The sequence below is a fragment of the Homo sapiens genome, chromosome 8, assembly GCF_000001405.40.
Source record: "Homo sapiens chromosome 8, GRCh38.p14 Primary Assembly".
NCBI classification, from domain to species: domain Eukaryota; kingdom Metazoa; phylum Chordata; class Mammalia; order Primates; family Hominidae; genus Homo; species Homo sapiens.
In genome coordinates, this window is record NC_000008.11 from 116,058,524 (window position 1) to 116,082,709 (window position 24,186).

Sequence of the window (24,186 nt, forward strand, 5' to 3'; positions counted from 1 at the left end):
GTTTCACAAAGAAGGAGATGGCATGATTGCTAGGTTTGATTTAAGATCCTGCTTGACTATCCATCCATATGGGGAAGATTCAGATCAGGCAGACAGTTAACAATAGAGCCAAGAATTGTACCAAGGTCTTCTGATTCCTATTCTGTTGTTCTTGATAAGTTTTTCCATATCTATGATGGTTTGGGTATACCAGATGGCTATAATGCATATTTGTTGAATGAACAGAATGAATAAATGAATGAAAAAATTAAATAAATGGAATGAGTAGGTAGGATGGAAGGCTCAAGGCAGATGCAAAATATGAATTAAAGCAGATTCACTCTGAGGAAAAGCATGTTAGAAATGCGGATCTGCAAACAACATTCTGCCATTCAGTGAGTTTTCTAAGCCTGAAAATTTTAATTAGTCTCTTTTTGTCATTAGATGGGGGTAATAATTATCACCTATTTTATTTTTTATTTTTGAGATGGAGTCTCACTCTTGTCACCCAGGCTGGAGTACAATGGTGCTATCTCAGCTCACTGAAACCTGTGCCTCCCGGGTTCAAGTGATTCTCCTGTCTCACCTTCCCAAGTAGCTGGGATTACAGGCATGCTCCACCACTCTTGGCTAATTTTTGTATTTTTAGTAGAGACAGGGTGCCCGGCCTTATCACCTATTCCTTTTACATCATTATTTTAAGTACAGAATAATATGCTACATGAAAGTTCTTTTCAACATTTAAAAAAAGATAGGCAGTTAGACAGATAGATAAATCGATATAGATAAATAGATTATAGAATGTTTCATTATAATTTTTAACATTCTTTTAATGATACTTTTAAATTATTTTGTTCTTTAGTGCATTAAAAGCACTTTTATGTGTATTCCTTTACATAATTTAATTAAAGACAAAAGCAAATGTGGAAACTGAAAAACATCAAAATAAGATTTGTCACTGTCATGGAAAAGATTAGTCACTGTCATGGAAATTGAGGCAGATTCACCAAGACTAGTGAGGTGTGTTTAAGAGGTAATTCTAAGATTTTTCTTAAAGAAATTTACCATGTATTGCTGGGCGTGGTGGCTCATGCCTGTAATCCCAACACTTTGGGAGGCCGAGGTGGGCAGATCACCTGAGGTCAGGAGTTCAAGACTAGCCTGGCCAACATGGTGAAATCCCGTCTCTACTAAAAATACAAAAATTAGCCAGGTGTGGTGGCACGCACCTGTAATCCCAGCTACTTGGGAAGCTGAGGCAGGAGAATCTCTGGAACCCAGGAGGCAGAGGTTTCAGTGAGACGAGACCACACCATTGCACTCATTGCACTCCAGCCTGGGCGACAGAGAGAGAATCTGTCTCAAAAAAAAAAAAAAAAGAAAAAGAAAAGAAAGAAATTTACCATTTATCATTAACAGTAATTTTTCTATGGCTATTTTCTATTAAGATTTATTATTGATAAAATTGTTACATTTACTTCTAACATAACAATAAAAATACCAACAGCAACATTTATTGAGCACTTTCTAAATGCCAGACATGACTCTAATAACTTAATTATTGATTAATTTACATAATCTTTACAATAATCCTGTGAAGATGGGATAATATCATCATTTTATAGATGATTTAGGGGTCAAAATGAGTTGTGAATAAAAAATTCTCTGATTCCAGAGTCCCTTCTCCTAGGCACATTTTTGCTGAGATATAATAATAATTATTACCATTATTGTTGTCATTGTGATCTTTGTTCTAATAATAACAATTAATTATAATTATATTACCATTTGCTGTACACACACTCTCTTTAATCCTCGCAGGTATTGCAAGACAGAATTATCATCCTTGTTTTACAAACAAAAAAGCAGAGGCTGAAAAATTGTAAGTTAATTGTCAAAGTCTCACAGCCAACAATTAATAGATGCAGATGGCAAATTAAGTACTATTACCTCACCAGACCCAGTTGCTTCTCAATAATCAATGTTGCTTTATTAGTTTCAGCAAATGTGTTTTAGCAAAGAGCTGAATGTCAGATCTGTTAGCCAGAGATTTGCCAATCTGGATTCATGATTGTACTCCAGTGAATTCCGAAATAATTATTTTCTGAAGAATTCTTCAGATCACACTCAAATACTAATTTAAGAATTAAGTGACATAACTTATTAACCGACATATTAAAATTAATTTCTGGTGAGCAATATTAAAGCATAACTATGATTGTTGGTCTAATCAAGGGTAGATAAGAGAATCCTTCGACTTTTTGTTCTATTTTTTCGCTGGTTGTGACACAGGATTTGTAACTGGCATCAATCAAGTTTTCTTTAAGCTCAAGATAGGTATTAGTGGTCTCTCCCTACCCAGAATTACCATGAAAATCCTTCTTTGTCAAAAAATAATTTTTTCCCTTCTCCATAAATGGGTAACTATGTTTATCTTCCTGATCTGTAAGCTAAACTAATATAGATGAGTAGCATGTTATCTTTTTTTACTATGATATTTGAAATAGCTTAATCACTAAGAAGGTAAGTTTTGATGTCCACCAAATTTTAATGTGAATTCTGCTCCACTATTTACTAGTCTTAGGCAGATTATTTTACTTCTCCAAGCTTTGATGCCTTCTTTTATATAAAGAACATTATCAAGCTATGGGATTGTTGACATAGTTGAAAAAGATAATGTATATAAAATGTTCAGTAAAGTACATGACAAGTGATAGGTAGCCAGATCACTAATGTCACCATACAGAAATTAACTTTCTGTATAGTGTGTTCTTTCTGAACTAGTGTGTTTTTTAGTTTCCATTTAAGTAATTCTCCATATTTCCAAGTATTGAACTATTCTCCCTAGTTTTTCCCACCTAATTAAATGGAACCACCATCCACCCAAATGTTCAAGCCAGAACCTAATACATCATTTTTATATCCCCGCTGCATCAACTATACCCAGATAAAATACATCACAAATCTTACAATTCTGTTTTGAAAATATAACTGATTTACATGTCTCCATCTCTGTTATTACCACTAAATAATCATTTCAATACAACTTTTAAAAATAAAACATTAAAAGTTAATATTTAAATTATAGTGTTCTTAATAGAAGCTATTTTGTTTTTTTCTAAATATTCAAACAGAATTCTGCATAGTAATCTCTAATTTGTAGTCCCAAGGTAGTGTTTCAAAATATGAGCTCAAAAGCTATATATGTACATCTATATGTGTGCATATGGATAAAGTTAATTAACTGATTTAATTAAATACATGAATCATCAAACATTACACATGTACAATCTAGATTATAATCTGTCCTTTATTTAGTCCTATTTAAGTGAAGCTGTATAGTACATTAATTTTTTAAGCACTTGACCTTTAATAAAGAAAGAATATTAGACTGGATTGTTTTCAGTAGCCGTGTTTTTGTCTTTGAGTATTCATCTGAATTGTATTCAATTACTACGACATGGGCTATATCTACATAAAGTTTCAAAATGATTTGCAGGTTTTAGAATGGATCTATACACAGGTCTACATTCAAAAGAAACTCTAAAATGATGGTTCATCTTTGATCCCAATCCCCAATTTCAAAATCTTATTTTCAATAAAAATGGAAGGCTCCAGTTTTTTTTAACTGCTTTTCCTTGTTTCTGGATTCTCATAGTTGTTTTTTTGGCTTGAGCTTATTCACAGGTGTGAACATTCAAATCCAAATACATTTAAACAACTATCCAGAGCTCCTGTGAACACAGCTCTTATAAACATAGCACTTTGGAATTTCTCACATGGGTTTTCCAGGAAGTTATAAGCCTAGAAGAACTAAGTGGTAAGGAAAAGAGAAATGTTCTGTAACTAGAACAAAGTGAGCATATAATAGATTTTAAGAGAAGTTTTATTGTATAGGATTCTTCCTAATAATCAAGAATTGTGGTTTCCCATCAAATTCTCTCACAGACTTCAAAGAAGCCTTTGTTGATTTAATGACAATACACTCTTTATTTTGGATAATCTAGTACAACCAAAGCCTTAAACTAACCCAGTTACTGCGGTGTTCAAGCTTTTAGAGGAGACAAAATCATTACTAATTTAGATCCTAAAAGTTGCTGGCTGAAATACAGATGGGCAGCCTAGAGATTTAGACTGAGTTTGTTTTGATAGAATTTAAGTTAGTAAAGAAAATTGGTGGGAAACAGTGGCAGGACTGAGAGTAAGATGAGGGGTTGGAGGAAAAGAGCTCCTCCAGAGGAGATGTGAAAATCAGAAGCAGAACTGGCTAGAGATGGTTGCTCTCTTGTTCCTTCTTTCTTTGCCTTCAAGCTCTCCCTCTCTCCTATTCTCTCCATATCATTTCCTCTTGATTTCAATGTCTTCTTATTTTAATGTCTAGTATTCCTTTCACTAATCTAATCAGCTTCTGATATTATTAGTTTGGTTTTTCTTTAGTCTCTTAGTTGCTTCATTCCTTTATCTCTCTCTCTCTCTCTTTTTTTTTTTTTCTGAGACAAAGTCTCACTCTGTCGCCCAGGCTGGAGTGCAATCTCAGCTCACTGCAACCTCCACCTCCGGGGTTCAAGCAATTCTCTTGCCTCAGCCTCCCAAGTAGCTGGGATTACAGGCACATGCATGCACCCGGGGAATTCTTGTATTTTTAGTCGAGACAGGGTTTCACCATGTTGGTCAGGCTGGTCTTGAACTCTTGACCTCATGATCTGCCCACCCCGGCCTCCCAAAGTGCGGGGATTACAGGCGTGAGCCACCGCACCCAGCCCTCCTTTATCGCTCTTTAAACTACATGGAATTTTTATTTATTAAAAAGAATGGGCAGGCATGGTGGCTCACAGCTGTAATTCCAGCACTTTGAGAGGCCGACGCGAGGGGATCACCGGAGGTAAGGAACTCAACAACGTGGTGAAACCCCGTCTCTACTAAAAATGAAAAAATTAGCCGGATGTGGTGGCCTGTGCCTGTAATCTCAGCTACTTGGGCGGCTGAGGCAGGACAATCACTTGAACCCAGAAGGTGGAGGTTGTGGTGAACCGAGATCATGCCATTGCATTCCAGCCTGTGTGACAGAGCAACACTCTATCTCAAAAAAAAAAAAAAAAATTGTTGTATAATTCTTATTTTAAGGTAGAAAATTAGATTAGCTTTTTAAATGTTTTTGCTCTTGTCCTTCAAAATTAAAATCAAATGCTGCTTCTTACTCTTGTTACTTACATATAATCCTCCCTAATTTTTATGTGCACTAGTGTGTTCCTCCATTAAAAATATATTACCCAATCTTGTTCTGAATCCCTTGTTTGCTCTTAAATTATTTTTCATGTTAGGTAGATTATCCTAACTCATCCTCCTGTCAAAAATAAAAAAGGCCAGAAAACTTAAAGATACTTGAGGAAGTGACCTTGTATAATAGATAATATACTCTTAGGAAAAGCTCTTTAACTGGATTGGAGGTGGGGGTAAATAATTACCTTTTATCTTCACTTCTGATTTTTATGGTCTTTAGGATTATAAAAATTGTTATTCAACCACACATTTCTGAATGATTAAATAAATGCATAAATGAAGACAAAAAAATCCCAGTGCAAACATGGTAAGCTTGTATCTCTTTATGGAGACTAAGAAATAAAAAAAAGAAAAAGGAAAACAACATTTTTTCCCTAAAAAGAAAGAATAAGAACTGTCATTATCATGTATAGTGGGTCATAAAATCTTCCAATATTTGCAGTCTTTCTGCACATAAATTTCATAAATGTTTTTTCTGTGGATTCTACAATTTAATATAAAAAAGGCAACTCTACATATATATGTAAGCAATTGAACAAAGCCATAAAAAAAAATCACCATTACCACCAGTGGTGCACAATTTGTTTGGAGTAAGGGAAGAAGGTTTTTATAGTTATAAAAATTATTTACGGAAGTTTTCCAAATGTTTCCACCTCTCAGAGATTAGGAGATTCCTTCTGGAGGACATGCCAGAATGTTGGTATTAGTGGACAGGAAGACAGTGGGTAAATGGGCATATGTAACTTCAGAAAATTCTCTAAGGATCCTTATAGCTTTCTATTGATACAATTGGTAGCTATTCTTACGAAGAGTCACTAATAAATACACAAGTCAATCAAATAGCCCAAGGCTTCCCAAACACCAAAGAAAGTTGAAAAATATTTGATAACAAGACTCTAGTTAAATGCTCTTCCCACTCAGGGGTATTATACACTCCCAGTTATGGGGTGTGGCCCAGTTCTGAGTAAGGCAAATATAACACATGATTTATATGAAGACATCTTTACTAAAGAACTTTTATTTCAGGAGTATCACTTAGGCTGAGCCCTAGGACATAGTCCCAACCTATTTTAGTAAGAATTGTGGATTTTTTACTCCCTGATTTATAACTCCAGATCCAAGAAGCTGAAAGTGATGTTCACCTTTTCAGTCATTTACTTGTCGACACTAAAAGCCAAGTCCCAGCAATTAAATATTCTGCAAATGTCTTAGGCATTTAGGGCTGGCGAACCATTAATTCAACAAACATTTATGAGCAGGAGATCAGTCTGACTACAACTGCCATAATCCAAGTGAGATATGCTAATGGATTGGGCAGAGATGATAGTGAGGGGTGGGTAACAGAAATATTCAAAGGTTTTGAAAACAGAGAAAGCAGCATTTCTGATGGTTCAGACGTTGCATGTGAAAGAAAGGAGTTAGAGATGACTCCAAAGAAACCGAAGGGATGAAAGAGCGGGTTTTAGGGATTGAGGGTGGATTAGGGGCTCTGTGTAGTTTACATTAAAATGATTACTAGACATTAAAGTTAGACATGTCAGGCAAATAATTGGACACAAATACCTGGAATTGAAGGGGAAAGGTCTGAATTGAGTATATTCATTTGGCAGTCTCAGGTATAAGATGGTATTTAAAGCCATACAACTATAATGGAGGTATGGTTTTCCTGGGGCAGCATAAATCCACTACAATTCAACATTTTTTCTGATTACAACTAAAAACTCTAAAGAAAAAATGCTACAGACAATTTCCTGAGGACAACAAGAAGTAAACAAAAGCAGGTAGAATATCAAAAGCAGTCAAAACTTAGAGAAACAAATGTATGAAGGTGAACAAAAATCAACAGAACCTCAGGGATGTGTATGACAATATCCACTGATTGTGCATTTGTAAGGTAGTCCCATGGAAAAGAGAGAGATTGGGCAATAAAGAAAATAGGAAGAAATTATGGCTAAAAACTCTCCAAATTTGATGAAATATAAATTTATAGATTTCAAAAGTTCAGCATATCCCAAATACTGTAAACTCAAAGAAAACTATGTCAAGACACATCATAAACTGCAAAAAAACAAAGATTAAGAAAAAGATGTTGAAAGCAGCTAAGGAAAAATAACATTACATACAAATACAAAAATTCAAATGACTACAATCAAGTACATTCTATTCTAGGAATGTAAATTTGGTTTCATATTTGAAAACCAATTGATGTTATTCACTGTATCAACAGACTAAAGGGCAAACAGGATCTTTTCCATAGATGCAGAAAAAGCAGTTGACAAAATGTAACACCTATTCATAAACAAACTCTAAGGAAACTAGAAATGACAGAAAACATTCTCAAACTAATTAAAGAGAAGTTATGAAAACCTTACTGCTAATGTCGCTAATGTCATCAACAATGGTAAATAATTGAAACACTGCAAGAACAAAGCATGGATGCTAACTTGTAACATTTATTTAACACTATACTGGCAGTCCTAGTCATTGCAAGAAAGCAAGAAAAAGAAATTCTAATTGTAAAGATCAGAAATTAAGAATTAAAATTTTCCTTATCTGCAGATGATATGATTCTTTTTTTAGGAAAGCCCACGAAATCTTCAAAATAAAAACTAGACCTAACAAATGAACACAAACAGTTCACAAGATATAAAGTTAATATGCAAAAATAAATTACACTCCTATATATTAGCATCAAATATTTGGAAAACATATCAAAACTAATGCAATGTATAGGAATGGCAAAAAAAAATTTATCATGCTACCTACTATTAAAGCAAACTAAATATGGCCTGAGAAGGACTCCATACTTCTATATATATTTGAGTCCTTATGGATGAACTGCAACCTAACTTAATAGGTAGACAAGATTGAAAACCTAATTTAAGAGTACCTGCCTGTAACAATAGCTGAGTATTGGCCAATCCCAGCAGCCATACTTTAACCACTCATAGACTGCTGAGTGTTCAGACTGTGTTCAAATAAAGCAAACGCCAAGCTGTAACCAATCCAGCTGTTTCTGTACCTCACTTCCAATTTCTGTATGTCATTTTTGTTTGTTTTTTTTTTTTGGTTTATAAATTTGTTCTGACCATGAGGCATCTCTGGAGTCTCTCTGAATTTGCTGTGATTCTGGGGGCTGCCTGATTTGCAAATTGTTCATTGCTCAATTAAACTCCTTTAAATTTAATTCAGCTGAAATTTTTCTTTTAACAGATGGTGTCAGAAGTGGGGTCTGAAATAGAGCTTCTAACGACTTCCAGGAGCACTGAGTGAACATGCAAGGTACCTACAGGATCAACTTGTGTCCATTGATCTCTCAGAGCAGCTGGAGATCATGGGTAAGTTCTCTCTTGGATTTCAGAGCTCCATGGATTTGTGGTTTGAGCTCTCCAAATTTCTTTGAGCAAATTTCTGATCTAAACTGGGTTTGGAAGTCATGACAGAAGCTGGACTGGGTCCAGGAATGGATTTGATCCAGTAATTAATGGGCTTGGATCCAGTTAAAGACCTCTTACATCTGACTGGGTCAGAAAGAAACTGGTAACAAATGATAACATCGTGGAGGTGTAAAATTTGGCTTTTAAAAATGTAAGGGGATTTTTGCATTCTTCCCCTTTGTTTCATTTTCCTTGTGTGCTTAGATAAGAAAAATAATTCAGTAAGTTAATTAAGGGAACCTGAGAGCAAAGCCAATATATTAGGTAGATATGGGATCTTAATTTCTGAAAAGACAAGTTTTTCTTGGCTTATACATTAGGCATGGGAATCCCAATCTGAAGGAAATAGACTGCAGCACAGGTTGGCTGACTTTGAATAAGTAATGGGGGACATTTTACCTGAGTAAAGGATGGGATTGGGTTAGAGGCTCACCCTTCAGGAAAGTCCCTCATGGTTAAAAATGGATTAAAGATGACAGGGCCCAACTGGGGGCAAGTTTGAGTCTTGCCAGTTCAATTTTTGGTGCTAAGCAGAGTGGCTGACATCTATGTTTTGTCACATGTATTTTACTCTGGCCAGAATGAACAATGTTAATTGGGTTATCCCATGCAATCCTTTGGGTGGCAACTTGCAAAATTGAGAGGCTTTTGCTTGTGGTTCCATGAAACAACAACAAAAAAAGATTATTTTCCTAGGGTCACTAGGGCTGCTCAGGGAAAGGGAACCCAGAAGCCTGGCATGCCGGCAAAAGGGTAAAAAATTCTTACCATTCAGACTCTGGCCTCTCTCTCTCTCTCTGTGCAAACTGGTTAAATGAATGGTAAACGTCATTGTTTATCTCCTCTGTAAAGTTTTGATTAATACAAAAAAGAATTCTGAGGCTGATCTTAAGCTATACTAAATCTGGCGTGCTTTGTGTGTCTTTCTGTATTGTTCTGTCATAAAGAGGGATACCTTAGGATAAAATGCATGCCCTGGACCCCATATGCCTGCTGTTCAAGACGGTGCAGCAAACTCGTCAATCATATCCTTGGGAACTTGACCTTGTCACTATGTGGCCCTGCTTTCTCTTTTTACAATGGTAGCCCGGGTTCAGGGTTCAATTCCCAGCTTAGGAAATGAGTACTTCCAGTTTGATATCCGCATGACCTTTACCATTTGTTGATTCTCTTCCCCTCCATGACTTATCTTAAATTTTCTTTTCCCTGAGCACAGAAATATTAGCCATTTGGCCTAGGCAAGTTTGAGTAATAAAAGATTTAAAAGGACTTTTTCAAAAAAGTACTATAGTTAGAAGTTGGCTTCATTAAAAGTGGATATTCAAGCTGTAACAGCCTGGGACTCCTTGAGACAAACAGGAGGCACCAGACCCCATTGTGGGGAAAAAAAACCAAAAAACAGGAATTGGAAATGGATAGATCTCTCTTGGAATCTAAGGCTCCGTTCTTTTTGGTATCCAGGATCTGGTATAAAAATGGGGACCCTTAATTTTGGGGATCTGTTTTTACATTCTAGCTGTGCCTGCTTCTTAGGCCCTAGAAGCTGCAGGCTTTCCTGGTGCTGTTCTTCCAAGAACTCCACCCTGAAGCCAGTAATCCAATTAAGAAAAAATGTAGAAACTGGCAAATGAAAAACCTTACAACTACTAAATCTTCTGTATGTGTAGTTACATACTACACATGCATCATAGCACACACGATTAATCCCAGCTAGTTAATTGGCTTTAAGAAAAGTAAGTGCTTAAATTGAAATTTTGAAAGAAAAATAAAAAGTGTAATGCCTTTTAGTTCATATAATTTTAGTAATCTCAGGGAAATAAAAACAGGTTTAATGATTATTGGTAAAATAGAGATATTTGGTCTAAATTAGGCAGGTCAAATATTAGGTTTGCTAAGTGCTTTAAGGTCATAAACTGCTTCTTAGACTTTTGAAGATTGTTCAGCTTACCTTCTTTGGACCATTAACTTACCACCAAATATTGAACTGGCAAGACTCAAACTTGTCCCCAGTTGGGCCCTGTCATCTTTAATCCGTTTTTAACCATGAGGGACTTTCCTGAAGGATAAGCTTCTAACCCAATCCCATCCTTTACTCAGGTAAAATGTCCTAAAGTAAAATAACTGGTTGTTTAAAAAGAAGTATATTTAGGACAAGTCAGAAAGTCCAAGCATGTTGTAGATGGTCTGCGTAAGTTGCGAAAGGATTAATGAAAGGAAATGGATGCACTGAAAGTAAAAGTTGCTAAGAGTTGGCCGGGCGTGGTGGCTCACGTCTGTAATCCCAACACTGTGGGAGGCTGAGGTGGGAGGATCATGAGGTCAGGAGATCGAGACCATCCTGGCTAACACAGTGAAACCGCATCTCTACTAAAAATTCAAAAAATTAGCCGGGCGTGGTGGCAGGCGCCTGTAGTCCCTGCTACTTGGGAGGCTGAGGCAGGAGAATGGTGTGAACCTGGGAGGTGGAGCTTGCAGTGAGCCAGAGATCACACCACTGCACTCCAGCCAGGGCAACAGAGCAAGACTCTGTCTCAAAAAAAAAAAAAAAAGTTGCTAAGAGTTACCTTTATCACATGTGATTAAAACTACTAAAAAAATAGTTTTACACGCAAGGTATGTGAGGAGAATGAAATGTGTTTTTGGTGAAAGATTACAAGAAGGTATGGGAATGTAAATTTTTGCCTAGTTTAGAGGGTTAAATTCTTTTAAATTAGAAAAGAATAAGTTAAAAGTTTGAACAGTTGTTAAAGGTTTGTAAAAATTAATCCTTTAAAAAACATTCTGTGTGTGAACATATTAACTAAATTTAAAAGAGTCTTTCCATTTTTTTCCATAAATTGAACATCAAAATAAAAACACAAACAGCATTTTCTTAAAGCACTTATCTGCTCGTTAGCAAAAATTTGTAAAGAGTACAAGGTCTATGAGAATCTCACCTTATGGTCAAATTGATTAAGATTGGAAAGATTTGTCTATAAGGTTTAATTAAAAATCAAGGTTGACATTAATAGTACACTAATACAAGGGTGAAATTTGGCTTTCTCTCTTGAACAAGATTTTCATGTAATATTAAAAGATAATGAAAGATTTTTGTTTGCCTTTTGAATAAACTGCTGAAAAAAGAAAGGAAAGACAAGAGACAAATTATTTGGAAAGCTGTCTTCCCTCTATCAATGGTAAAGGTTTTTGCCTTTTTAAAAATTTTTGAGTCATCATTTTGGCTAAATGAATGATTATGGTAACCTGGAATTGTATTTCACATTATCAAGAATTTTAAACCTTTAACATATTTAATAGGCTTCCCAAAATCAAATTTCAGCTTCAAAATTGTCTTTTCTGACCTCTAACTTTAAGATGCTACAGATAGCCTCTGAAGCATCCAAAAAAGAGGTAAACAGAATTATTTGACATGTTCAATTTCATGGGAAGCATTGCCAACAATACACAAAGTTTTAATCTTCTTCAGGGTATATTTTAGTGAATCATATTAATATATGTCTTAAAATTGTATGAGATTTCTAAAATTCTAATATGTCTGAGTATATGCTATTGATCATAATTATGGTTATTATGTTATTGTAGACCACAGAAATAACCAAATTTCATTGTCAATTGTGTTTTTAACTATAACTATTTAAAGTCATTTCCACAGTTATTTGCTTAATGCTGATGCAGTTTCTGGAAACTTCACAAGCATGCAAAATCCTAGAATATGGTGTCTTTTGGTAGGTTCATGAAGGAGGGAAAGGACCCTAAAAGGCACTCTTAAATACAGATTTCTAATAACTTGGGAATTATATTATTTGAACAGGGTAATAATTCCTGGAACTTTAATGAAAAGACAGACTGGGTTTTTAAACTGCTAATCCCAGTAGAACAAAAATTAAATACCAAGAAAATACTTTACCAGATTTTGATGCTAAATCAGCTGATACTGAAATTGTTTAGATATACATTTTGAAGAACTCCATGGTCTAAGTCAAATTACCTATGATAACCAATCATTTGTCAGTGCTGTGCACCTAATTTGGAGAACCAACTGGTATACAAGAAGGTAAAAAATCTAATGTTAATTAAGCATGGACTCCTGGAGAATCAGCATGGCCACCTTGTCCTTCCTGAGTCGTTAAAGCTTTTGTTATTAAAAGTTCTTTATTCCACGACTCATCATAAAAAAGATAAAATAATCCAAATTGAATGTATTGGTGTGGTGACTTATAAATTGCTAAAATAGTGTATAACCAATGTTTGGTCCTGTATTCCTGGGAAAACAATCAAAGCTTCTAGAATATTTGGTCACCTGATGGGCCATTTAAACATTTTATAAAGGAATTTCACTCAATTGTCATTTTCAATGCATATTTTCTGTTTGTATAAAAGCGCTCCCATGCAAGAAGGCTAATGTTATAACACTAAGTTATTATGCCACAGTGTATTTTTACCAGGTAAAGAAAGTTTCTTTTATGGACAATCAACCTCTTCCCAATCTAGAACCTGAAGACTGGATCTTCTGAGAATGTCAGAGAAAGACTGTCCTTGCCATCCACATTGCAGCAAAACTTTGGAACTTTGAACTCTGGGTTCATAATCTCGCAAATGAGAAGGGTCCTTCCACACTCTTGGAACTGTACACCCATTGGAATCCTTAAGGTAAAGCTAATCAGGGAAGTCTCTCCAAGAAAAAGATGGCATCCTTGATGTGAACAGCTTTCCCAAAATCACAAATCAAGACTTCTTCTATTAAGAGACTCTTATCTTTGAATATTTTTTCTTGTTTATGCCTCTATGAACAATAGAAATGAAAAAGGGGGCCAGGTGTGGTGGCTCATGCCTGTAATTCCAGCACTTTGGGAGGCCAAGGCGGGTGGATCACTCGAGATCAGGCATTCGAGACCAACCTGAGCAACATGGTAAAAACCAGTCTCTACTGAAAATACAAAAATTAACCCGGCATCGTAGCGCACACCTCTAATCCCAACTACTCGGATGGCTGAGGCAGGAGAATCACTTGAACAGCAGAGGCAGAGGTTGCAGTGAGCTGAGGTGGTGCTACTGCACTCCATCCTGGGTGACAGAGTGAAACTCCATCTCAAAAAAAAAAAAAAAAGAAAAGAAAGGAAAAGAAAAGAAAAGAAAAGAAAAAAGAAAAAAGGGGGTCTGTTGTGTGCACTTATGGAGTATACTTTTATTTGTAAAGGATTTTGCAGCCAGCCTTATACATAGATAATCTTATACTTTGATAGGTAAAAGATGAAGGTCCAATGTAGGTGAGAAACTTTAATGGTACATACATTCCCTCATAATCAGTCAGAAAGTTAACATTAATTCACTCCTCTTAACCCACATCATGAGTTAAAGAGAACATTGCCAAGGAGGCCTTTGCTCTTCTCTAAGAGAAGGACATCATTTGTTAGGTCCTTTTTCCAAAGTTTGGAATAACAGAGGCAATGATTAGAAATGTATCCCTCATAATAGGCTCTATAGCAGATTCTACTGTAAATGCCATGGTTACACCACAGACCTTAAATTCTCTTGTGAAAGTTATGCTAAAGAATAGAACTGGCTAAACAAAAAAGTATCTGTGTGCCTGTTGACACTTATGGCCTATGGAGAAAATCAGGTATTATAGAGATTCAGTTGTAGAGGATTAACAAAGAGTCTGCTTAGTTAAGTGAGTAGACTCTTCATCTAGCTCATTCTTTAAAGTACTTGATTTTAGGTGGTTTTGTTTATGGGAACCCCAGGTAAGAAGCATATGCCAAACTCTTGGTTTTTATCCTCCTGATAGTCATAATAGTCTCCCTGGTGCACTGTATTATCTCAAAGGTTTTAAATGTTTGCATGCGGCCATCTCTAGAATGTCAAATGGTGCGTCTTCAACTGGAATGACAAGAGTTGAAAGAAATGTGTGATCATGAGGACACTGTAACCTATGAATCACATGCTGTGACCAGAAACACAAAATGATGTCAACTGAGAGTGGTACTAAGGCCCTAAGTTTTAGTCACACTCTCACCTAAGTGAAAACCTGGCCAAAAAGCGGGTAATTTTTTAAAGCAAAATTATGGGAGGCCATTGTTTTGGACTGAGCTCATGCACTAGGCCCTAACAGACCAAATCAAACAAAAACGGAGTCACTCATGCTAAATATGACATAATCACACTAAGACTTTAAAGAAACACAAAGATCCTAGACCAGGACAAACAAGGTTTTGTTTTTCTCCTGTAAACAGGGCATTCCAGTATAGGGAGTTACCCTCTACTCAGTCCTTGTTCCTACCTTTGCAAAACTCACTGTTCTGTTTCCCAGTGAGTTGCAAGACCAAATAAGTACATTTACAATGGTGATAGTGACATCAATTACTAAAGTTTTGGTCAATCAATCAAAATTGAAAAAATGGCCAAAAGGGGGGAATTGTTAAAGCAAACTAAATATAGCCTGAAAAGGACTCCATACTTCTATATTTGAGTCTTTGTGGATGAACTGCAATCTAACTTAATAGGTAGACAAGATTGAAAACCTAACTTAGAAGTATGCACCTGTAATAATAGCTGACTGTTGGCCAATCCCGGCAGCCATATTTCAACCACTCACAGACTGCTGAGTGTTCAAACTACTAGTGTAGTGTTCAAAACTGAGTGTTCAAATAAGGCAAAGACCAAGCTGTAACAAACCCAGCTGTTTTCGTAACTCACGTCCAATTTCTGAATGTCACTTTACTTTTTTTGTCTATAAATTTGTTCTGCCCATGAGGCACCCTGGAGTCTCTCTGAATCTGCTGTGATTCTAGGGGCTGCCCAATTTGAAAATCATTCATTGCTCAATTAAACTCCTTTAAATTTAATTTGACTGAAGTTTTTCTTTTAACACTACTTAGGCATATGTCTAATAAAAGACATCTAAGATCTTTTATTTAAAAATTACAGAAAAGTATTGTTGGGAGAAATTAAAGACAGGCTAAACAATTAGAAAGACATGTGATATTCATTGATTGAAAGATTCAAAATTGTTCCCATGGCAATTCTCTCAAAATTTGTTATGTGAAGTCAACATAATACCAATCAGAACCCCAGCATGCATTTGTTAAAAATGACAAAATGTTCCAAAGCATGTGTGCAAATCCAAAAAGTATAGAATAGTGAAAGCAATTTTGGAAAAGAAGAACTTCACCTAATTTCAAGGCTTATTATATAGCTACCATCATCAGGACACTTTGATAATGCCCAAAAGATAGATATGTATATTAGTGGAGTAGAATAAAGTTTAGAAAAAGACTCATATATGCATGGTAAATTGATTTTTGACAGAGTTTGACAGAGGAAAGTTCACTTGAGAAAGAAAAGCCTTTTCAATAAATCTTGCTGGATCAACTGTACCTCCATAAGCAAAAATAAATAAATAAATGCTAACCTTTACCTCACATCATACACAAACATTTACTCCAAATAGACACTAGGCCTAAAGTAAAACATAAACCTATAAAACAACTAGAAGAAAACTTGGATGTAATCATTTTAAGTTTGGCATAGTTGATAGCTCCTTAGACAGATATTTTAAAAGCATTAACCATAAAAATAAAACTGATAAATTGGACCTTCTTAAATTTAAAATCTATTATCATATGAAAATTGTCATTAAGAAAATCAAAATGCAAGCCACTAACTGGAGGAAAAATATTCACATTACATATATTAGACAAAGGATTTGACTCCAGAGTAGAGAGTAAACTCTTATACTTTAATAAGAAATAAATGAAAACAGAAAAACAAATGCAAATGGATAAAAGGTTGAAACAGAGATTTTAAAAAAGAAGATAAGTGAATGACAACCACATGGAGACATGTTTAATCTCATTAGTCACCAAATTAAAACCACAATTAGATACTACGATAACCCATTGAGATAGCTGAAATTTTTTAAAAGACCATATAAAGCAGGGCTTAGCAAACTTCTTTTGAATAAAAGGACCAGATAGTAAATATTTTAGGTTTCATTGGCCTTATGGTCTTTGTCAAAACTATTCAACTCTGCCACTGTAGCATCAATGCAGCTATAGACAATTAGTGAATGAAGGAGCATAGCTATATTATTTACAAAAACAGGTGGCAAACAAGATACCTCAGGCCATAGTTTGTCTTAAAGTCTTGGCAAGGACATGAGAACTGAAATTCTCATGCTATCAGTGAAAAAAAGCTAGGCAGTCATCTTTAAAAATTAAGCATACGCTTAATATACAACACAACCATTCCACTTCTAGGTATTTATCTGAAAGAAATGAAAACATATGTTTAAAGACTTATACGAAATCCTTGTAGCAGTTTTAGCATGGTTAAATGGATAAATTATAGCCTATCCAAACAATAGAATATTACTCGGCAATAAATGGCAATCAACTATTAATACATACAACAACATGAGTGAATTTTTAAATCATTATGTTGAATGAAAGAAGCCAAGACAAAAAAGTATATATTGCATGACTCCAATTATGTAAAATTCTAGAAAATGCAAACTAATCCCTAGTGAAGAAATCAGATCAATGATTCCCTGTAGATTGGAGTGAAGGGATGCAAGGATTATAAAGAGACATAAGGAAACTTTCGAGGGGAAATGGAAATGTTTGTTATCTAGATGGTGGTTATTATTTCACGGGTGTATACATATGTCAAAACTGATCAAATTGTACATTTTAAATATGTGCAGTTTATTTTACTTCAATTAAACTACAATAAAGTTTTTTTAAAAAAAATAGTTGGATGAGATCACCAATGGAATAAGTGTAGATAAAGAACAAAAGCCCAAGGCTGGTCCCTAGCATATTCCAACATTTAGAGACAGAGAGAAGGAACTAGCAGAGGGAACAGCCAGTAGGACAAGAAGAGATCTGGGAATGCACGGGGGTTTTGTAACCCAAAGTCAGCAAGTGTATCAAGGCAAAATGTGTGATCAACTGAATTAAATACTAATATTAAGGAAGATAAGGACTAAAAATTGATGATAGGGTTTTAGCAACATGGAAATCACTAGAGACAATTTAAAAAATAATTTTCTTGTAAGGATGCAGAAAAGTTTTGTGGTAAAATAGAGCAGAGAATTAGAGAGAGTCAGTTTGTTCATTATTTTCCCAAATAGGGGAAACCGCAGAATATTTTTATGTTGATAAGAAGGGAAGAAGAGTGGCTAGATGTTGGAGTGATACTATGAGGAGATGTGTGGCAATGGGATCTTGTAAACAAGTGGAGGGGATGGCCTCAACTTTGAGCACAGACTTCTTCCAAAGAGAAGGTAGAGTATGTGAGAAGAGATACAGGTAGGTGGATAAATACGGTGATGAGAATTTGTGGAACAGTAATTCTCACTTTGAGTGTACATGGGAATCACCTAGATTATATTTTAAAATACTAATGCCTACCCCCTATACACACCTAACACCTGAGTTTCTTAATTAATTGATTTGGGTTCCAAACTGGGTATTGATTTTTTGTTTGTATTTTTGTCTTTTTTGGTGTTGTTAGTATGGAGAAGATTCTTGGGTGCATCCCAGGTTGAGAACCACTGTAGTATAGAAGTCCTCTTAAGATTGCCCAATGTTTTCCAATAAAACAGAAAACAAAGTCTTCAGCTCAGAGAGTGAGGGAGGAAGTATTGTGGTTTGAGGTGAAATGCAAAAACTTAAATCCAATTTCAACTAGGCAACTCAAAGGTGACATAAGGTCCCTAATGTAACGAGAAAAAGAAAGATTAGGGCAGAATTGAATCAGAACAAGTCTTCGTAAAAGCAATAGGGAGATGGAAAGAGAAAACATAATGCATCATCCCTGAGAGAAAGACATCAAGGACTAGATGCCAAAGGAGATATCTGGCAAAGCTAGGCCTGCAGTTTCTATGGGGGGGTTGGCAGGAACATAGTGTAGAAGAAAGAGTCAGGAAAACTGGATTATTATCCTGGCCGCATCACTTCAGCCCTTGTCTGTTGAAGTCAAATGTGTTAGATGAATCGTAGTTCAATTCTGTAATATCTAATATAATATCTGCCACAAAAGACTAGAGAGACCTAAGACAGTTTTTCGGGAGTAATATAATTTTTACATGCCAGTTCAAGACATTTGGCTCTTTCTTTATAGGAAAGTGACCCACTGAAGGGATTTGAATAGAAACATAACATGATCAAAATATTTCACAAGGATTCATCTGGAGGTGGCATGAAGGAAAAAATTAGGAAAAAAGATGAAGGAAAGTTTGAAGGAAATTATTGCTGATTTAAAAGTGAGGCAATGAGTCTGCAGTGAAGTGGTGGCAGTGGGAATGGAAAGGAAATGATGGATGTAAGATAAATTTTAGAGTAAAATTCAACTAATTGGATGACTAATTGGATGGAGAGAGCAGGGAGTCAAGAATGACTCAGTTTTGTGCTTAGTTGTCTAGGCAATGGTGGCAGAATGAATAAGAATCGGGAATCAGGATAGAAGTTGAGGAAGGAGCTGAATTTAGGCAGAAAGATGACAAATTTGTTCTTTGACACAGTTGTGCTTTAATTTGCTACAGAGGTGCCAATGAAATGCCCACCAGGCAGTTAGCTCTCTGGGATTAGAGCTCAGAAGAAAATATGACCAGGAGATGGAACTGATGATTAACCACCAAATATTTGATTGTTATGGCCATGAGAATAAAATCTTGAGAGAGAAGACCCAGTGAGAAAGCTGAGTTGAAGGGAATTTCTGTGCATGGTGTTAACCCTTCAGTTGGTGGATTGTGGGGAGAAAGGAGGCCTGAGGGATTCCAGTGAAGAAGCTGGCATGGAAATGAGGCATTCAAAAAACCTGGGGAAGTGGTCCCTTAGCAATTAGGTTGGAAATATTTGGATATTTTAACAACTTTTTTTTAGCTGTACCTGTGTGTGCAGGCCGAATGAACACCAGTCCTGAGTATAAACGAGGTCAATATTGGTTTATACTAGGTAAAGCTGCAGCTAGATCTTTCTCTTGATCCTGAGTTCTTAAGAACCCAGGAAGCTGTGCTAAAAGCAGCAGTTATGGTTCCTATTAGGCAGCACTGGAGTGAGGCAAGAATTAGCATTCTACATTTTCAACAGGCACCCCCAAATGATTCTGAAACATACCAGCACATTAGCAATGACTAGGAGAGTTAGTTGGGTAACTACCTTCATCCATAAGAGCAAAAGAGAATGAGGATCCAAACTCCAATGCCAATAAAATAACACCTGAATTAGGTCCACCCTTAGGGAGTATTTACTTATATGCCACAAGCCCAGCATCTGGGGCTGCCTTACCAGGACAGTAAAAATCTTGAGCTTCACAATCAACATAACTGACTGGCTGGGATACAGGGAGCCCATTTTTGTGAGATAAACATTATGTGCTGTTGCAAATAAAGGCCAGTGAAATAGCAGCAGATCAGGTTGCTTTGGATTCTAGGTTAATCTTTTCACCATTTGGGTCCATGAGATTTCCCAAAGGCTATTTTTTTTTTCTTGTGGGAGATGAAGGGGAAGGAGACCATTCTGGAGGATGAAGCTATGTTACTACATGGTACAATTAAAACACAAATTAAAGATAGGTCCTAAAAAAAATTCTCTTCATATCAAAAATGTGCAGATGTACTGTAGCTTTATGTAGTCTGAGTCAATTTCAGTGGAAATAAAAACACTTAGAGTGTCATAGAAATAACATTTGCTAAGGGAAAGTTGAACTGGCAGGACTGATCTAATTCTGATAAAAAAAATATTGGTTTGAATTTACAGGCTAAGATGGTTATAAACCACCCTATTATCTGCCATATTTTGCCTAAGTGGTAGTTTTTTTTAACTTAAAGGAGACTCAACCTTGTGATTAAATAAACAGTCTGAATCACTTAGCAGGTCAAAGCTGAGAAGTGCTGGCAGAACAAGTCCCGCAGTGGAATAGACAGGCTGTGTGTGTGTGCCCCAGACTCACCAACATGACCTGCAATTTAACAACAGCACATCCCACAATTCATCTGGAAATGCCAAAAAAGCCTGTTCAAATCAGTGGATACCACCTAAGAGGGAGGCCACTTCTAAAATATTTAGAATTTTCAGGCTGCTGTTCCCGATGTGCCAATAGCTTATTGGCTCCATCTGAATAAAGCAAAATTGCCAATCTTCCTGTTGACTCTAGCACTGTTTCCAATCTGCTTAGATATGAGTGTGCTATGCAATATTGGAAACATAAACCTCTCCCCAGAGCAGACAACCAATGGCCTAATCGTTTACTTTTGTTATAAGAATTGAAAGTACGTATGGAAAAAGCTTTTTTTTTTTTCTTCCCCTCTGACATTTTGCTCCATTTGACAGCTGACAAAAATCAGTTTTGTTCATTCTGGCAAATACAAAGAATGTAGAGAAAATGCATTGCAAGAAAGCAGCTTTCAAAAGACTTGGACAATTACCCTGGAACCTTGGAATTACGCTAAAATGAGGCTGGAGGCCTGGAACTGTGTTATAGGTGAAAGAGTGTTATGTTAATATTCTCCTAAAACTGGTAACACAGAATAGAATCATATAATGCCTTGCACATTCTAGTAGAGCACAGGTATCTATAACAAATTTTCTTAGAAAGAGATAGTTTTTTTGTTCTGGATTTTGTCAACATGCCAGAAACTTATAGGGCAGAGGAAATTAAATTAATTTATGTGTAAATCTTAGGATCAATATGTATCTATAATGGATGGTATTAATTCAACTATATGAGAAACTTTCCTAAGAATGGCAAAATCTGAATAGTATATACCAAGTAAGATAAGAAAACACTTCAGGAATAGCAAATATTTGTTATATGGATCATGACTGCCTCCCACAGCAGACATCATTACGGCACACTTTCCCACTGAGCTTGGATGACCCACAGAATCCTTCTCAACTTAGTGTCCAATAAAATCACTATTACTCAATCAAGGTTGGCAAATGAAATGAAACTAATATTTTATCTTCAATCTAGCATATTTTCTACATGACCTTTAGGGAAGACATTTTCATGGCATCTACTCACAATTCTTTTCCATATGGATCTTGATAAAACAAAATAATTCTTACATGTAGTTCATTTATTCATTTGACCTATATTTATTGAGCACATACTATGTCCCAGGAACTGCTCAGTTTTGAGAAAATGATAGTAACAGAGCAGACAAAAATTTCTTCCCTGTGGGAATTTGTATTCTAATGCCTATGAGGTTGGAAACATCGAGCCAATTAATATTTAAGGTTACATTGGTTTCTTCTAATTTTCTAAAGTTGCCACCAGTTAACAGAGCTATCTGAACAAGGAACCACTAAGTTAGAAAATACATGAACAGTTTTCATTTTATATCCAAATATAACCTACAACAAAGTTAATCTGACACATGGTTAGTGCACCATCAGTATTGCACAGTGTGATAATAAAGGGTAACCAACAAGTAGATGGTTACATATTTGTCTATATTGGTCACATATTTGGTGATCAGTATTATGTTTATAGCAAATCCAAGCCCTTCCTGTGGTCAGTTAGCTGGGGTAAGGGTGGGTGTGGTAGGGAGAGAGAAGTACACAGTGAAGCCAGAAAAATTATAAATGGAATTATTCAGATAGTCTTGTACTTGAAATGTATAACCTGGACATAAATTGAAGAAATTCATTAAAAAATCCTAACATGGTATCTTTTATTACTATCAAGTTAGAACATGACTTACATTCAACTGGGTTCATACAGTCGCTCTGACTGTACAATATTCTTAAGCGAATCAACACTTCCTTGCAGGGAAGGCAGCCTTACAGAACTCCATTCTATGCATCCATGCAGCCCAGCACAAGAGGTTGAAAGGAATGGTCATAATATATACTGGTCATTAAACCAGCTGGACAGATTATGCTGCATAATGGTGCTGAATATTTAAATTTCTCCATAGCAAGGCTGCCCTTGGTCTGGCTTTCATCTCTTCTATATCATGTTGCTGTTTTAAGGTAAGTAATATTTGACAGCTTTATCAAAAAAGGCTGAAAGTCCTAAATTAAGAATTTAAAAAATTTTATGTAGTTCCAAATTCCTTTTTTAGGGGGCAGGAGATAAGTTGTTTTTTGTTTTTTTTTTTTTGTTTGTTTGTTTTTCCCCAATATAAAGATATAGTCACACAGATAAAATGCTACTGATGAATTCAGATAGTCAAAATCGTTCCTTTGAATCCCTGAATACATTTGCAACAGGAATTCCATATAAGGAAAAGAAATTTCCTTTAGAAAATTAACCATCTTGCGAGCTGGATGCCCTGAGTTTGGTTAACTTGGAGAAATTTCCTTTGGTTGAAGTACTTTAAATCAGGATATTTTTCCCATGGAGGAAAAGATCTCCCTCTAAATTTTCTTTATGAGTAAGTTATTGTCTAAAAAGAGATTTATGTGTGTTCCAGGGTAACCACATCCTTAAACAAAGTAAAAATATTTTTATTTTCTAGCAAAAACATGCTGCTTCATATTTGTTGAAATTGTTCTAACATTCAGTTTAAAATGTATTATGGAAGGATTTGTTTTCTTTTAGAGTCATACATAACTTGTGGAACTTTGAAAGCAACCAGTTGAGTATTAGTATAAAATAAATTTGGGTTTTAAATGGTATATTCTACACTTGTTTGAAAGCAAAACATAAAATTTTGAAAACTGTGTAGACTATAAAAAGCTGTAAAATCTAATGTAAAATATGACATCCTATACATAGATTGCCATCAAAGTTCCTTTCTTTAGGTGGAAGTTTAAAACATAAACAAATTATTATAATCATTATTATTATTATTTCTCTCTCTCTCTCTCTCTCTCTCTCTCTCTCTCTATATATATATATATATATATATATATATATATACTGTATCTGGAATTTCTACAGAAACTCGTAGCTACATCAAGGAAGTTACGGCTTAATTTTCCTGGAAAAAAGGGTGACGAAAAGAGTGAGATCTGTATGCCAGGGTAACTACATCTTTAAACAGAGGGAGGCCAGGTGCAGTTGCTTATGTCTGTAATCCCAACACTTTGGGAGGCCAAGGCGGGTGAATCACCTGAGGTCAGGGGTTCAAGACCAGACTGGTCAACATGACGAAATCCTGTCTCTACTAAAAATACAAATATTAGCTGGGCATGGTGGCAGTCGCCTGTAATCCCAGCTGCTCAGGAGGCTGAGGCAGGAGAATCGCTTGAAACTGGGAGGTGGAGGTTGTTTCAGTGAGCCGAGATCACACCATTGCACTCCAACCCTGGCAATGAGAGGGAAACTCTGTCTAATATATGTATATATACATATACATATATATATTTCTAGCAAAAACATGCTGCTTTGTATTGTTCTAGCATTCACTTTGAAATGTATTATGGGAGAATTTGTTTCCTTTTAGATCCATGCATAATTTGTGTGATAAAAACGTGAACAACAATCTTAAAGTCCGGATAATCTTCACTAGACATCCTATGGCAAATTCTCTAGG

General features: G+C 35.7%; 1 long non-coding RNA gene across 1 annotated transcript in view, besides 1 other annotated feature; it reads right to left on the reverse strand.

Annotated features, from left to right (window-relative positions):
* LINC00536 (long intergenic non-protein coding RNA 536) overlaps positions 1 to 24,186 on the reverse strand; it is a 374,549-nt gene that overhangs the window by 108,013 nt on the left and 242,350 nt on the right. The gene's annotated exons all lie outside the window — the stretch shown is intronic.
* Positions 10,844 to 11,006: a silencer, noted in NCBI's record as "fragment chr8:117081592-117081754 (GRCh37/hg19 assembly coordinates)". NCBI's record gives its function as "represses an EF-1alpha promoter that drives an FKBP-Casp9 reporter gene in an ReSE screen in HepG2 liver carcinoma cells {active_cell/tissue: HepG2}" and the evidence as "EXISTENCE:reporter gene assay evidence [ECO:0000049][PMID:32094911]".